The sequence below is a fragment of the Homo sapiens genome, chromosome 4, assembly GCF_000001405.40.
Source record: "Homo sapiens chromosome 4, GRCh38.p14 Primary Assembly".
NCBI lineage: Eukaryota > Metazoa > Chordata > Mammalia > Primates > Hominidae > Homo > Homo sapiens.
In genome coordinates, this window is record NC_000004.12 from 68,364,912 (window position 1) to 68,383,169 (window position 18,258).

The 18,258-nt window shown below is 39.9% G+C and overlaps 2 pseudogenes; one reads left to right on the forward strand and one right to left on the reverse strand.

Annotated features, from left to right (window-relative positions):
* On the forward strand, positions 11,340–11,739 carry MT2P1 (metallothionein 2 pseudogene 1; annotated as a pseudogene).
* On the reverse strand, positions 17,789–17,943 carry LOC124900917 (uncharacterized; annotated as a pseudogene).
* Positions 17,944–18,258: the final 315 nt, after the last annotated feature.

The window sequence follows — 18,258 nt, forward strand, 5'->3', positions numbered from 1 at the left end:
CACCATGCTCAGCCTATAAATTTCTAAGAAGCAAAGCATTCAAAGTGGGATCTGGCTTTTTCTAAAAGCCTGCAGTCATATGCATTCACAAAGAGATGATCTGAAATTGGAACTTAGGTTTAAAAGAGAAGTAGAGTGTAAAGGTTTGGAAAAGTTGCAGCCTGACCATGTGGTGGAAAAGGAAAACCTGTTTTTTGGGGAGAAATTCAAGTCAGCTGCAGAAATCTGCAAAAGTAAAGAGAAGCCAAATGTTAATAGCCAAGACAATGGGGAAAACCTCTCCAGGGTGTTTCAAAGTTCTTCACAGCAGTCCCTCCCATCACAGACTCAGAGGCCAAGGAGGAAAAAATGGTTTCGTGGGCCAGGCCCAGGGCCCCCCTGCTTTGTACAGCTTTGGGACATGGTTCCCTGTGTCCCAGCTGCTCCAGTGCCAGCCATGGCCAATGGAGGACAAGGTACAGCTTAGTTCATTGCTTCAGAGGGTGCAATCCCCAAGCCTTGATGGCTTCCACATGGTGTTAAGCCTGCAGGTGTGCAGAAGACAAGAGTTGAGCTTTGGGAACCTCCAACTAGATTTCAGAGGATGTATGGAAACGCCTGGATGTCCAGGGAGAAGTCAGCTGCAGGGGCAGAGCCCTCATGCAGAGCTCATACTAGGGCAATGCAGAGGAGAACTGTGGGGTGGAGCCCCCACACAGAACCTCCACTGGGGCACCACCTCATGCAGCTGTGAGAAGAGGACTACTGTCCTCCAGATTCCCAAATGGAAGATTCACTGACAGCTTGCACTGTGTGCCTAGAAAAACTGCAGGCACTCAATGTCAGGACTTAATGCCACCCAATGAAAGCAACTGCAGTGGCTGTACCCTGCCCAGAGCCACAAGGGCAGAGCTGCCTAAGGTCTTGGGAGCCCACCCCTTGCATCAGCATGACCTGGACGTGAGGCATGGAGTCAAAAGAGATTATTTTGGAGCTCTAACACTTAATGACTGCCCTATTGAGTTTCTGATTTGCACGGGGGCCTGTAGCCCCTTTGTTTTGGCCAATTTTTCCCGTTTGAAATGGGACCATTTACCCAATACCTGTAACCCCATCATACACTGGAAGTTATTAACTTGCTTTTGATTTTACAGGCTCATAAGCAGAACGGACTTGCCTTGTCTCAGTTGAGATTTTGGACCTGGACTTTTGGGTTAATGCTAGAATGAGTTAAGACTTTGGGGTACTGTTGGAAAGGCATGATTGTGTTTTGAAATGTGAGAAGGATATGAGCTTTGGGCGGGGCTGGGATGGAATGATGTGATTTGGCTTTGCATCCCAACCCAACTCTCATCTTGAATTGTAATCCCTGCATGTCAAGGGAGGGACCTGGTGGGAGGTGATTGGATCATAGGGGCAGTTTCCCCCATTCTGTTCTCATGATAGTGACTGAGTTCTCACCAGATCTGATGGTTTAAAAGTGTGTGGCAGTTCCCCCTTCATGCTCTCTCTCCCGCTACCTTGTGAAGAAGGTGCTTGCTTCTCTTTCACCTTCCACCATGATTGTAAGTTTCCTCAGTCTTCCCCAGCCATGCAGAACTGTGAATCAGTTAAACCTTTTTTTTAAAATAAGTTACCCAGTCTCAGGTAGTTCTTTATAGCAGTGTGAAAATGGACTGATACACCCCTGTTCTCCACTTTCTACTTAGTCTTTTAGTAATGACAATATAGCCTTTTACCATCCCCTTCACCAGACGCTCCCTACAGGGTAAGTTCATCTATGCACTCTAAGACGGAACTCTCTTTGAGAGTTAACAGTCGATTTATAGACCAAAGCATGCCTGCTATGGAACTCTCACCCACCAGAGGGTTACCTCAAGAGATAACAATTGAAAAACATGTCCGCTACTGTCTCCCAGCTAGGGAGTTTTTATCATAGTCCTGCCCACAAAAATGCCAGAAGTCACCAGCTTGACCTCCTGGTATGTAAGGGACCAAGCTAACATGCAGACCCCTCACCTTGCTCACTTCCTCTCCTGCCTTTTAAAAGTGCCTGCTTTAGGTTCTCACTCATAAGTAGGAGTTGAAGAATGAAAACACATGGACACAGGGAGGGGAACAACACACACCATGGCCTGTTGGGAAGTTGGGGATGAGGGGAAGGAACTTAGAGGATGGGTCCGTAGGTGCAGCAAACCACCATGGCACACATATACCTGTGTAGCAAACCTGCACGTTCTGTACATGTATCCCAGAACTTAAAGTAAAATAAAAAAATAAAAAAATAAAAAGAAAAAAGAAAATGAAAAAACAAAAAAAGGAAAAAGAAAGTAAGTGCCTGCTTTTGCTCCAGAAACAAAGTAGTACATTTAAAGTCAAGACTCCTGTGCTTCTTCCCCTAAGCTAGCTTGGGAAATAAATCACTTTGTTTATACCAGACCTCGCTTTTGTTAATTGGGCTCTGCAAGCATTGAGTGACTAACCTGCATTTATTAGTTACATTCTCACTGCATTTGTACTTGTCTCCATTACAACAATTATAATTATAGATACATTTTAAGTTACTATGGAGCCCCAGCAGAATGCCTGTCACATCAAAATTATCAAAGAAGTATTTAGTAAAGAGAAGAAAAAAAAGAATAAACAGAAGATATCAACAGCTCTGGATTCTACCAGTGACCAGCATTCAATCAACTCTATATAAATTATTCTCTCTGTTCCTATATTTTCTCCTTTGTCCAGTAAGAAATTGGACTCATGGCCAGATGCAGTGGCTCATGCCTGTAATCCCAGCACTTTGGGAGGCTCAGTGGGGTGGATCACTTGAGCCCAGGTGTTCTGAGACCAGCCTGGGCAAAATGGGGAAACCCCATTGTGGGGGTTCAGTCAGGCTGGTGGGAAAAATTTTAGTTATCATAGCCACAAACCCTCTTGGAAGGCCTGAGAGTTTGCATAACTTCAGTAATAGATCTAGCTGAAGGCAGCCTAGTCCCTTTACCTTTAGTTAAATAGGTTAAAGTAGATACAAAGGAATGTGGGGGAGTTTATCTAACTAGCTTGTTTACTCATGTGGTCCTAAGACTAATCTTAGTGTGCTTAATTGCTTTCTACTCGGGAGGTCCGCAATGTCAATTACCCTCTAGTGGTGTTGACTCAAGCCTTTGTCAATTAATCTTTACTGAATGAATGTGAGTCTTGCTGTGTCTAGGCTGGAGGTTCCAACTATTTACAGCACTCTTCTTGGTGTCTGTAAGTGGTCTGGATGCTCAGCCAGACTGGCAAAGCAGAATATCTGTGTCAGTGCACGTTATTCATCTGTCATTGGGTCAGGGTCTGCAGGACAGACCCCTGCACCCCATCTCTACAAAAAACACCCCCTGCAAAATTGTCTGGGCATGGTGCCACATGCCTGTAGTCCCAGCTACTTGGGAGACTGAAGCGGGAGGATTCCCTGAGTCCAGGAGGTGGAGGCTGATATAAGCCAGGATCATATCATTGCACTTCAGCCTAGGCAATAGAATGAGACCCTGTCTAAAAAGAATTAAAAAAAAAAAAAAAGGAAAGAAAGGAAAAAAAGAAAAACGATATGGAGCTTGAACTTTCCTTGACTTTGGGCACGTCACATGGCTTCGATTTCTTCATCTATAAAATGTCAACCACAGAGTTATTGTGAAGATCAAATGAGCTGTGCATGTGAAATGAAACTACCTTTACAAGCATTAAATGCTATAAAAATTTTAAGCATGGCTTTTAGTAGTTTTAGCTCTAATTTTCTATTATTCTAAATAGTGGAATGTGGTAGAAGTATATCACTGTTTTTTCTTTTTTTCTTTTTAACCAGTGGTGGGGATAAGGGGAAGGAAGTGGTTGAAAAATCGAAAGGGAACTTCTTACTTGGGTAAGTCTGGACTTAATTGTGCCAAACTTTCTAAAGCAGCTTCCAGGACAAATTTCCAGGAATATTTAAAAAATTGTTTAGACTGACTGGAACACAGATATGAAGCCACATTTTTTGTGCACGTGTGACTATGTGTGCCTCTGGAAGATTTCAACACAAACACGCTCTCATCTAAATTAACGCTTTCCTCTGAATTGACTCATTTGACCAGCATAACCAGTTTGCATGCCAGTGCAAGCAGAGAAAGTTGTAATAAAAAGAAGAAAAGAATGAAAGGCATTTAGAAATTCGGTGGTTAAATGTACACTTAGTTAATCATTGTATTTGTTTTTCAAGGGCTTCCTAACCTTTTGGAGAAAGAAAAATATGGCAGAAAGCTGACTGAAGTTTGAAATTAATATGTGCAAAATGTCTGTAGAGGATCTAGTCTATCCTCCTTTCCTTCATCTTAAGACTTAATTTTATCCAAAAATTAAGTAGCCTGATTAGTCATCCTTGCTTTCTTCTCTTCCTGGCTCCTTGGGTTTTTTCCCACATGTATTTGTTCAGCATCTATTACAAAGCAGGCACTGCCCAAGGCATTGTTTTTAATGTACAAGTAGGGAGTTTGAAATTCATCCTTTCGATCAGAAGTTCTCAAACTATACGGTGTATATGATTCACAAGGAAAATTTGTCCAAAGTGCAGATTTCTAGTCTTAATCCCAGATATCAGATTTGAGGCTCTTCGTGGGGCCTGGCAATCTGCCATTTTAACAAGTGTCTGGGAGAGCTGTGGCTCATGCCTATTATGCCAGCACTTTGGAAGGACGATGCAAGAGGATTGATTGGAATTTGTGACCAGCCTAGGCAACACTGCATGACTCTGTCTCCACAAAAATTTAAAAAATTAGCCAGGTGTGGTGTTGCATGACTGTAGTCCCAGCTATTTGGGAGGCTGAGGTGGGAGGATGGAGTGAGCTGTGATCGTGCCACTGCACTCCAGCCTGCGAGACAGAGGTGAGACCTTGCCTCAAGAGACAACAACAGGGCCAAACGCGGTGGCTCACGCCTGCAATCCCAGCACTTTGGGAGGCTGAGGCAGGCGGATCACCTGAAGTTGGGAGTTTGAGACCAGCCTGACCAACATGGAGAAACCCCATCTTTACTAAAAAATACAAAATTAGCCAGGCATGGTGGTGCGTGCCTGTAGTCCCAGGTGAGACAGGAGAATCGCTTGAACCCGGGAGGTGGAGGTTGCAGTGAGCGAAGATGGCACCACTGCACTCCAGCCTGGGCAACAAGAGAGAAACTCTGTCTCAAAAAAAAAAAAAAAAGACAACAACAATGGCCGGGTTCAGTGGCTCACGCGTGTAATCCCAGCACTTTGGGAAGCCAAGGAGAATGGATTATCTGAGGTCAGGAGTTCGAGACCAGCCTGGCCAACATGGTGAAACCCTGTCTCTACTAAAAATACAAAAATTAGTCAGGCATGGTGGCAGACACCTATAATCCCAGCTATTCAGTAGGGTAAGGCAGGAGAATGGCCTGAACCCAGGAGGCATAGTTTGCAGTGAGCCGAGATCGCACCACTGCACTCCAGCCTGGGTAACAGATGGAGATTCCATCTCAAAAAAAAAAAAAAAAAAGACAACAACAAACAAGTGATAAGCAATTCAAGGGACTCCATTCACCTGTTTGAAATTAATAAAACACTTAGTGATTAGATTAGGTTGGTGGGCAGCTGAACTCTTCAAGATTTTATCTATATCTCTTTAAGAACTCCAGAATCGGGGCTCTCTGTTCGAATCCAGACTCTGCCACTTAGGAGCTATTCAGTTGATTGTATTAATCAAGTTAACCTCTTTGTACTCTGTGTCCTCCTCTGTGACAGTACATGGGAATCAAAATATCTACCTCAGAGAGTCACTGGGCAGATTTAGCAGATAAAGCATGGGTGTTATCTGGCATATAGCAGTAAGTACAAAAAAGTAGCTACAATAATAATAACATAACATATAAATTAATATAATAACATTGTTACCATTATTGGCAGTAGTTTTACTGTGGCTCTATTTTTTAGAGAGAAGAGAGAAGACACAAAGTTTTGCCCACAATAAGTGGTCAGGTCTTGGAATATGACTAGATGATTGCTTCAAAAGAGAGAAGTGTTCTGACTGCTTGTATATGTCTTCTGAGGCGGAAATTGCTGTTAGTAACAACCATTTTAGTTTACATTTTCTAAATATTATTAAATCCCTGAGTAGTAGGTAATATTATTGCTATTCTGACATTTTCTTCTCATGGCTTAATTTAAAAGAATCAAAATTATACCCAGCTCAGAGAGGTAAATAACAAATGTTCTCAAGAAGCATCTAAGGCCAGGTGCAGTGGCTCACGCCTGTAATCCCAGCACTTTGGGAGGCCGAGGCAGGTGGATCACGAGGTCCGGAGTTCAAGACCAGCCTGAACAATACAGTGAAACCGCGTCTCTACTAAAAATACAAAAATTATCTGGGCGTGGTGGTGGGAGCCTATAATCCCAGCTACTAGGGAGGCTGAGGCAGGGAACTCCTTGAACCCTGGACGTGCAGGTTGCAGTGAGCTGAGATCGTGCCACTGCACTCCAGCCTGGACGACAGAGTGAGACTCCGTCTCAAAAAAAAAAAAAAAAGCATCTAAAACAGGGGTCCCCAACCCCCATGACACAGATTCTGGTCCATGGTCTTTAGGAACTGGGTTGCATAGTAGGAGGTGACCAGCAGGCAAGCAAGTGAGCATTACCACCTGAGCACCACCTCCTGTTGGATTAGTGGTGGCATTAGATTCTCATAGGATCGTGAACCCCATTGCAAATCGTGCATGTGAAGGAGCTACATTGTAAGCTCCTGATGAGAGTCTAACTAATGCCTGATGATCTGAGGTGGAATAGTTTCATCTGGAAACCATTCATCTCTCTTGTCCATGGAAAAATTGTTTTCCATTAAACTGGTCCCTGGTGCCAAAAAGGCTGGGGACTGCTGATCTAAAAGATGTCCTCATCATAATCACAGATAATGAATACAGAATACTCAGTATCGGAGGAAAGATAAAAAGTTCAGTTTGGGTCAATTTCTTCACTATTTACATACACTTAGGGCCTTAGACCCTTCCATGCTAAAATTTAAATGCATGCATTAGCTCATTTAATCTATAATAGCCCTATAAGTAAATTGCTATTATAATCCTTATTTATTTATTTATACATTTTTTTGAGATGGAGTCTCGCTCTGTTGCCCAGGCTGGAGTGCAGTGGCATAATCTTGGCTCACTGCAACCTTCACTTCCCAGGTTCAAGCGACTCTCCTGCCTCAGCACTCCCTGGGACTACAGGTGTGCACCACCACACCACACTAATTTTTAAAATATTTTTTAGTAGAGATGGGGTTTCACCATGTTGGCCAGGTTGGCCTTGAACTCCTGAACTCAGGTGATCAGCCCACCTTGACCTCCCAGAGTGCTGGGATTACAGGCGTGAGCCACTGCGCCTGGCCTATAATCTCATTTTAAAAGATGCCATTATAAAACATCTTTAAAAATGAAATTTATTCTCTGAAGTGTCAACATAATAAGAAAGAAAAAAAAGACACTTAGGTTAACTAAAGTAATAAAGGAACTCAAACTTGAACCAAGAGCTATGTGATCTTACATCTCACTTTAGTCTGCATATCAAACCGCCTCCTAGACACTTTGAGGCTCACGGGTCTGAAGTGGGTGTAGTGGCATCCTGGGAAGATTTAATAGGACAACAAAGGTAAGTCACACAATGAGCTCTAAATTCTAGTCTGTCCAAAGCATGCTCCTTTCTAAAATTATATTCTAAAATGTTAAGAAAAAATACAAAAAAGGGCATTTTCAGAAAATGTTTTATAGTCCTTCCTCTGAATGACTAACTTTACCTTTTTTCTACATTGCATATTCTTTATCCCAAACATATGCAGAACATGTTGATGTGTTCTCTGATTACAAAGTGTTTTCAAATGATAATGTAATGACTCAGTAGACTTGTGAAATGCAGGCAGAAAAAAATCATTTAAAACCAAAATTGACTGTGCTGCTTCTACCTGCTAAGGGAAGTGGTCTAATTCGCATCAGAGGGGTAAGAGGCAGAGTTCCCTTCCCCTTTTGTAAAAGAAAAATGGGGACAGCAAGCAAAAAATCACTCAATTGTTAGGAAAAAATATCTAAGCCACCCTCTCACCTTCCTTCTCTTTCCCAAGAATTGGTTGCACTACTGAAACCAGAGGAGTGCAGGAATTCCACTATTTTGTAAAATAAGTTTGAGCCAAATTTGCCTGAATTTCTAAGACAGGCTACTTTGGTTGATACACGGATTAAGCCTAAAAATAAAACCTTTTGAGATAAATTGGGTAGTACACCCACAGAATCGCGCCCGAGTCAAGGAGGGAAATCCTTTTGGTATTGTGTTTAAAAATCATTTTTAATTTTCCCTACAACGAAGCGAAACTCCTCACATGTGTTTAATTGTTCGCTCTGAAAGACTACACAGGCCGTTACGAAAATAGTTTTTGGCATGAGTAGTGATCTAGTTATAAATCAGTGAAAAATAAATTGTGTCCATAAAAAAGTTACAGAATTTACCCCTGTGCCATTAAATATTAGTTAACAACCTTGATTTTTAAATTGATGTGCCATATTCTACCATATCGATACTGTATTTGATATGGTTCAGTTGCAGACTGCTCTTCCAGAATAAATAGGCAGAAAGGAATTTATCACTGGCTGCAAACCATTAGATGGCTTACAAACTGTTTGGAATTGTAGGGGCAGGCGCTGTGTGAGCGTTTAGGAACAACTTCCATTCTCCAGAAATGGCATGGGTAGTCCTGCGATCCAAAGGCAGCAGTGTCAGGTGGAAGCGCTAGAAGCCCGAGGCTGCCATTGGCAGAACAAAGCAGTCTCGGCCTGGCTTGGCAGCATCCAAAAGGACCGCAGCCGCCCTGCCGCTGCACACGGTGCATCTGATTGGCGGAACCCAAACCCTTCCGCAGCCCTCCCTGCGAAGATATCTGGGAAACGTAGTTTTTACCTTCTAACCTCTAAGGCACGGAAAGCTTATTCGATGTTGATTGTAATGGAAATAGAACTATGTATTAGGATTTGTTTAACCATCCCTTGAGTTTTAAATTTTTTGGTTGTTACGTAATTTTCTCTGTAATAAATAAATAAAATTCCCTAAACAATATGAATACTTTTCAAATTTTTGATAATGATTGCAAAATTGCTCTCTTGAAAAGTTATGCCAGTTTATACTCCTTCCAGCAATCTTTGTTCCATATTGTCAGTCATGATTAATACATTTGTCAATGCTTTTGAAAAGGAAAGTGACATATTATTTAAAAACTATGAATTTCTTTGGCTAGTTTGAAGATTTTAATTCTCACCACAAGTGAATTACGATTAGATTTTTTTTTTTTTTTTTGAGATGGAGTCTCACTCTATCACCCAGGCTGGAGTGCAGTGGCCAATCTCTGCTCACCAGCAACCTCCGCCTCCCGGGTTCAAGAGATTCTCGTGCCTCAGCCTCCAGAGTAGCTGGGATTTGAGGCATACGCCACCACACTAGGCTAATTTTTGTATTTTTAGTAGAGATGGGGTTTTTGTCCTATTGGCCAGGCTGGTCTCGAACTCCCGACCTCAGGTGATTCTCTGGCCTCGGCCTCCCAAATTGCTGGGATTATAGGGGTTAGCCCTCGCGCACGGCCGCAATTAAGTCTTTAGACGATCTGTTTCCCCAGTATTTCCCAGCAATGTATTTATGAATCATCTCGCATCTCGCATGGTGAGAAACTTAACATGAACGTTCAACCATGTAAAATTATTACCAGTGAAATAAATAACTTAATGTCTAGTGACCTCTTACTGTAGCTCTGTATTGGTAGATAGACACTTCTTTTTTGATCTTTCAAGTATATAGTAAAAAAAATGTTCCTTTTACAGTTTTCAATTTTTTTTTTTTTTTTTTTTTTTGAGATGGAGTCTCGATCTGTCTCCCAGGCTGGAGCGCAGTGGCCTGATCTCGGCTCACTGCAACATCCGCCTCCCCGGTTGAAGCGATTCTCCTGCCTCGGCTTCCCAAGGAGCTGGGATTACAGGCATGCATCACCACGCCTGGCTAATTTTTGTATTTTCTTTAAATTAGAGACAGGGTTTCACCATGTTGGCCAGGCTATTCTCGAACTCCTGACCTCAAGTGATCTGCCCGCCTCAGACTCCCAGAGTGCTGGGATTACAGGTGTGAGCCACCGCGCCTGGCTAATTTTTCATGTTTTTAGTAGAGACGGGGTTTCTCCATGTTGGCCAAGCTGGTCTCAAACTACTGACCTCAAGTGATCCACCCGCCTTGGCCTCCCAAAGTGCTGGGATTACAGGCGTAAGCCATCGCGCCCTGCCTTGTTTTCAAAATTAAACTTAGTTGAAGCCTGTAAGACTTAAAATGAAAGCAAGATTATGTGACTTGATTATGATGCAGCCAAATGAATTTAGATGCAAATGCTAGACTTGAAATGTAAGTGTACGAATATACAGCAGTATAATTTTATGAGGTCTGGGGGTTACTTGTGCATGAGCCCAGGATTTAGATATCTGGCTACTCACAGTAAGATCCATGGAAGGAAATAAATTCTATAAGGAAGCACTGTATAACTCAAAGAAACTAGAGAGGCCCAAATGTCCAAAGCTGCCATTTCGCTTGCTGGAATTTGCTGGTGGAATAACTACCCTTCCCCGAATTAATGAGGCTAAATGAATTCCTGGGGAACCCTCAGGCTGTCAGTGTAACACCTCCCACATCTTTTTTCTCCAGCAGGTGGCATGTACAGCACCATCCTGAAATGGTGATAACTTTATTATTATTATTGTCACTATTCATGGGGCTAACCATCTTCCCTTTTCTTCCCAAATAAGTACATGGAGTTTTAGCATAGGTATTAAAGAAGGCTCGTCAGCATGATGGCTTAAGTCTGTAATCCCAGCTACTGGGGAGGCTGAGGTGGGAACCGAGGAGTTCAAGGCTACAGTGAGCTATGATCATGCCACTGCACTATAGCCTGAGTGACAGAAGGAGACCCCGTCTGTAAAAACAATTTAAAGAGAGAAAGAGAAAGATAGAGAGAGAGAGAATTCTTGTTTCAATGACCTAGAGGAAAAAAGATGTTATAAGTTCGCTTTTGAAACTGGAACATTAATTTTTCACCATATTAAGACAAGACCCTGTATATACACGTTAAACTTAAACAGCTATCTTTTAGGCTGTTGAATGCAAGAAGGTAAGTTTAAGTACCATCTAGTGGTAGGCATCACCCTCCACCTAGTGGCATCCCTCTCCATCTAGTGGCAAGATAGGCGAATTGAAAGCAAGTGCCAAAGAAGAAATAGTCTGATACTGAAATGTTGAACAAAAGTTTAAAAAGACAACAGTATTGACCACGCCTCCTCCAAGTCCCAGCGAGCCCGTGTACAACCTGTCCCGACTCCAGCCGCCTCTTCAGCTCGCCATGGATCCCAACTGCTCCTGTGCCGCCAGTGACTCCTGCACCTGCGCCGGCTCCTGCAAGTGCAAAGAGTGCAAATGCACCTCCTGCAAGAAAAGCTGCTGCTCCTGCTGTCCTGTGGGCTGTGCCAAGTGTGCCCAGGGCTGCATCTGCAAAGGGGCGTCGGACAAGTGCAGCTGCTGTGCCTGATGCTGGGACAGCCCTGCCCCCAGATGTAAATAACGCGACCTCTACAAACCTGGATTTTTTATGTACAACCCTGACCCTGACGTTTGCTACATTCCTTTTTCTATGAAATAATGTGAATGATAATAAAACAGCTTTGACTTGAAAAAAAAAAAAAAAAGAGAATAGTATTAAAGTACCAGATAAACTTTACCACTGTTTTATTAAATTTTAATATAAATAAACTATGTAAAATAATTCATGATTGTAGCAGGTTATCTAATTTGGAAATAAAAAGAATACTCTTGCTGGATGGTAAACAGACTATTCCTAGCATGAGGTCTTTTCTTGGAATTATTTTATCTTAGTCCTTACCTAGAAGGACTTAGGAAGTGACAAACAGTGCTAAAAACCTGAGAGAAAAGTTAAGACATAGTGACAGAATTTTGCAGGACAAAAGAGTGATATTAGTACAGTCTTTCTTATGTTAAACCTTTTATGATCTTGAAAATCTTATCTTTAAATCTTAAGAAGCTGTTGGATTATACTTTAATCATTGCAGGGAAAAGATTTAGAAATTATGTTGTCAACCAGTTTAGATCAAATTGACATCAGAATTGGGTCTTTAGGAGGAGATTTTTGGTACAATAACTTTGTAATCTGAGGATACTAATCAGGGTATAATAGTACACTTAATTAGTATGATTAGCTGATAGTCTCAAGTTAGGACGACAGTCATTGAGCCCATATCAGGTAGTTAACAGTGAGCATCTATCTGTTCTAATATGTTCAGCATTCTGTTAGGATTAGTTGGTGTCCATGCTGTCCTTGTTATTAAATCATCTGAATATCATCCAAGACCATAAGGGACTGTATGTTCACAGGAAAAAAATAACAAAATCACAAAATGTGAAGAATGTATGTATTATGAAAAGAAGGTAGGCAAACAGATATCTTTAAAAGAGGAAGCTAAAAAAATAAAAATAAAAGAGGAAGCCAAATGAATGGATCAGATAGAAAAAAATGTTCAAAAGTGTAATAATTGTTTTAAAAGGACTAAAAATATTTTTAGAGACCCAAAGGAGGAAATTAGAAACATGAATCAGAAAAATCAGTTATGAAGGACCAACTGGAGATATTCAGTATGAAAAACCTAATAACTGAAATAACTCAGTAAGTATGGTATTAGATAAACCTTATAGATGTTTTTTAGATACTGCTTTTCAGAGTGAACACACTTGAAATACAAATTAGTGAGCTGAAAGATCAGGTCAATCAACTCTTCTAGAAGGACTCAGGAAGGACAAAGCAGTGCTAAAAAACTGAGAGAAAAGGTAAGATACAGTGACAGAATTTTGCAGGACGAAAGAGTGATATTAGTACAGTCTTTCTTCAGTATCTTCAAGGATTGGTTCAAGGACCCACTGCCTTCATAGTAAAATCCAGGAATGCTCAATTCCCTTATATAAAATGGCCTGTTTGCTCATAATCTACATACATCCTCCTGTATACATTCAATTATCTCTATATTACATATGATACCTAATACAATAGGAATGCTATGTAAATAGTTGTTATGCTGCTTTGGTTTTTATTTGTATTTTTTTAATTGTTAATTTGGTTTTTTCTTGAATATTTTCGGTCCCAGGTTGTTTGAATCTGTAAATGCAGAACCTGAAGATACATAGGGCTGAGTGTATTTGATAGAAAGAGGACAGAGAAATTGTTGAAATAAGAGAAATTTGAAGCTAGGATGCTATATCCAATTAATTCAATGTAAGGCTGAAATAAGTTATTGTAAGGTACACAAGGCCTCAGAAGGCTGACAAAAATTCTGTTTGAAAACACTTTGGGAGGATGTGCTCAAGTAAGACAAGGAATCAATCCAGAAGTTAACCAAGAGATGTGAAAAGTGTGGAACAAGTGAAGCTTTGTAACGTGTTTAGATGAAAAACTGCCAGAGGCATCTTTAATATAAACAGCTTCAGGAAGAGAGACACACTGTATTGCTTTCTTTATCCCAGAGATTTTGGAGCGTATACATAGGTGTCATGCATGTCGTATGTATATGTGCGTATTTGTTGGAGGAACAAAGCCCAACCCCCACCCCCGACAAAATCCCATGAGTTTATTTACACATTGTACATGAGAATTTGCGCTATTTCCTATCTTCAGACGTGATATTTAAAATATATAACAATTAGTACAACATAGGGCACTGACCAATCAGAACAGACACCAGCCAAACTGCTAGAGCAGCTTCCTGGATGCTGTGCCCTTCATGTCCGGATTATGAGTACACCTCTGGTGGGCTGGGGCAGAGGCATGGGGCAGGGTCTCAAAGTGGCTTCTATTTACCATGTATATAGGATTGTTTCAATATTTTAACAACTTGTATGGTCATGTATACTGACTGAATAGCAACTCTGCTATGAGACATAAGACATGTTTGATGACTTCATGCAATTTTCTGAAACATGCTCTTTTTTTTTTTAAAATAAACCTTGGGCAGATGTTATGTTAAGACAGTCTCTGTAGTAAAATAATTTGCCATATTGGAGAGGCTTATCATCTTTACAATGAAAGTCAGAAAATATAAGTAAAACATATTAAGTTGTACTAAAGCAGAGAGAATAATCAAATATAATCTTACTCAAGATATTTTCATGACAACTCAGCTTGCAAGATGTTTTCCTAGGCTTACTGGGTCATAAATATTCGGTATCATTTTTTTTCCTATATTTTAAAGAAAAGGAATTTGGAACATGTAAACTATAAATCTAAGTTTTAAAAAATCTAAACAACAGTTTCCTCTCATTGCAGACCTCATTCAAATTGCAGGCTGGAGCCATGCCCAATATGCCTCTTCAGAGCCACAACTACCCACAGGTAGGTGGGCACTTGGTGAGTGAGGATAAAAAGTTTGTTGTTATAAGTCATTGAGTTGTGCAGTTGTTTGTTACACAGCAAATGACATTCCTTTTTTACTTATTCATCATTCATTCAACGTATTCTAAACATATAACTATGAACTATAAAAACTCAAAACTGGCTTTTCTTTTAAAAGATTGACTAGACAAATTTATGTTAAAACTAATCAGGAAAGGAATGGAGATGCAAATAAACAACAGCACCTATGAAGTTTGCATTCTACTATTGAAACAGAAAATACACAAATAAACTGGGAATCCCAAATGGTTCATAAGCAAACGAAGAGTGACTTACCCTTACTCTGTAATCAGAGAACTGCAAATTAAAACAATTGGAAAGTCTGACAATATCATGCAGTGATGAGGATGTTGGGAAATAAGAGACCTCCCATTCAACTTAAGGGAAAGTAAGCTGTTGCAACCATTCCAGGGAGCAACCTGAAAGTACTTGGTAAATTAACTATCTTTATACTTTCTCAATGATGTAGCAATTACACTTCTAGGTCTCTTGCACATGTCCCTAGGAATATTTTTCACAGCAATGTTTGTGGTAGTAAGAATGGAGAAAGTCTAGATGTCCATTGACAGAGGAATGGGAAATAAAATAAGGGATAGACACATAATAAAGTTATATTCAGCACTCAGAAATAATGTTCTAGATTAATATTTATCTGGATGGCTCTTAAAATATCATGACAAATTGGGGAATAAACAATATGAGATTTATAAAAGAATAACTTTCAAGGATATTACATGCATATGCCCAGAAACACCAAATTCATCTTTAAAGATACACATATATCTAAATGAATATAGCAATGATATACTGGTAGGGTATAAATTAAATATGTAAGGGTGGGGTGAGGTGAGAATGGTGGATGCATGGGAAAAAGGTAGTAAAAAGTAGAAAGGTAAAATTTAAAAAGGGGTATTGCACAGACGCTGAAAATGTGCAATGAAATGAAGGGTGTGATTAATTCAATTTTGTGACTTGATAGTCTAAAAATAACTATATGTAGTAGAATCTGAAATATGAGGAATAGGGAACTTTAAGGGAGTATATGGAAGTCAACGCCGTCTAAGCATGTGCACACTGAATTCTCACACTTTCGATGATGTCCTGCTATTATATCTTTTCTAAGCTTAGAGGAAGATAAATACCACAGTAGTTATATTTTAATTCTAGTTTTATTTAGGTAAATGATAATAATGAGATAAGCCACAAAGTTCGAATTGACATATCTATTAGTATTAGTATACATAAATGTAGAAAATATATTTCAAAAGAAAAAAGAACGTACTATGATCATCAAAAACCTCACCTTTCCACATGATACATATTGTTGATATTTTGATATTTTTCCACCATGGAATTTATTTTGCAATTACCTTGTTAATCAGTATAATGTATAATGTGAGGATTAAATTGCATCTATGGATCTTGATGTGTTATCTTTAGAACTTATTTAGATTGAAGCTTTCATTTTATCTTTTTCAAACTACTATATTAATGATCTTGAATGAAGATTATTATAGGAGTTCAGTGCCTCGCAAAATTTTCTTGTACTTACCCTGTGCTTCATACTCTTATTGTCTTGCCTCCTTTGAATAATCACAAAAGAAAAAGAAGGCAAAGGACTATATAGCACAACCTATTAGAGGAAATGGCTGAAATAGTATTCTCTTAATGTTTAATGTGACTATTAAGAGGGTATTATGCTGGCATGTAAAACAGTTAATTGTATTCAGTGTGTTTTAACATCACTGATTAATTGATGGCATAGTGAATGTTCATCTTGGAGAAAATACCACCTTTGTATCTCAGGGGATCTAAAGAATGTCTTTTGCTGCTGAATAAAGTGCTTCAAAAAGTTCAAAGGGAGAAATGTGTATTTTTTTTTATGGTAAGGAAGAATAGATTTTACCACTTGGGAAAGTAACAGCTTATGAAATCACGCAGTGATGACTGTAATTCAGCTGTCGTCTGTTTCTTTCACCTTCTAACCAGTGAAAAAAGTTAGGTTACTTATTTCTTTGACTAAGTAAATTGAAAAGGAATAAATTCAGAAAGATTATCTAAGGAAACTGGTTATTAGAGCAAAATGGTTTGTATTCACTCTGTAAATGAATGCTCCTGCTGCTTTTCTCTTCATTTTAATCATAATATTTCTTTTTTCCAGTTGTTTCATGTGAATTTTATTTTATTGTTTGTTTTTGTTTTTGAGATGGAGTCTCGCTCTGTTGCCCAGGATGGAGTGCAGTGGTGCCATGTCGGCTCACTGCAATCTCCTCCTCCCGGGTTCAAGCAATTCTCCTGCTTCAGCCTCCCCAGTAGCTGGAACTACAGGCATGAGGCACCACGACTGGCTAATTTTTTTGTATTTTTAGTAGAGATGGGGTTTCACCATGTTGGTCAGGCTGGTCTCAAACTCCTGACCTCAAATGATCTGCCCGCCCTGGCCTCCCAAAGTGCTGGGATTACAGCTTGAGCCACTGTACCTGGCCGTGAATTTTTAAATATATCACATTTCAAAATAATTTTGCAGTTCCAAAATAATTATTTTGTAATTCAAAGACAGTTGAATAAGCAAATCCCTTGGGATTTGATTGTGTCAGAATTATAAGGTCCTGCTTATTTTTATTTTTATTTTTGGAATTTGTCTGATGGTTGCAGATTATTGTCACCGGTTCCTCACGTTTGTTCCCAAAAGAAGTAGGATTTGTGAGACTTGGTTCCACCTTTGATTTTGATCCATCCCTCTGAATCAGGCTAAGTCACAGACTCCCTAGGTCATTGCCACAATTTTATAAGTAAGGCAACTAAAAATAATCTATAGTACTCACTTTCAAAAGATCAATCACTCAATTCACTGAGTGTTAATAACTGATTTAGCTCAGGGAGAAGGACATTTCTCTTATTATTCTCTATAAGAAGGTAAAATATCTAGGTTCTTACATTTTTGAATAGCAAAGTAATGTTGAAATTAGATGGACACCTTGACATAAATCTGAATAAAAATAACATATCTCAGGAATCTTTTAGTATTATATTATTGATATAAAAATTATTAAAATAGGCTGAGCGCTGTGGCTTACGCCTGTAATCCCAGCACTTTGGGAGGCTGAGGTGGGCGGATCACGAGGTCTGGAGATCGAGACCATCCTGGCTAATAAGGTGAAACCCTGTCTCTACTAAAAATACAAAAAAAAAATTAGCCGGGCGTGACGGCGGGCGCCTGTAGTCCCAGCTACTCGGGAGGCTGAGGAAGGAGAATGGCGTGAACCTGGGAGGCGGAGCTTGCAGTGAGCCGAGATCGCGCCACTGCACTCCAGCCTGGGCAACAGAGCAAGACTCCATCCCCCCAAAAAAAAAAAAATTATTAAAATAGCAATATTATTAATGTCTACACTTGGTCTTAGCCAAAAGGCCAAGAAGATATAGTTTCTTAAATTTCTGAGATCTTTCTAATTTATAAAATGCTTTAATATACAGCTTTATTTTTATTAATTTAATTTAATTTAATTTATTTATTTTTTAGATACAGAGTCTTGCTATGTTGCCCAGCCTAGACTTGAACTCCTGGGCCCAAGTGATCCTTTTGCCTCAGACTCCTAAATAGCTGGTACTAGGCGTGCGCATCACTGTACCTTACCTCCATACGCAGCTTTTTAGAGGCAGAAACTATTTCACTGACTTCTATCCCTTAAACCCAGAAATTGCCAGACATAGGTTAATAAGTGCCTAAAGTAAACTT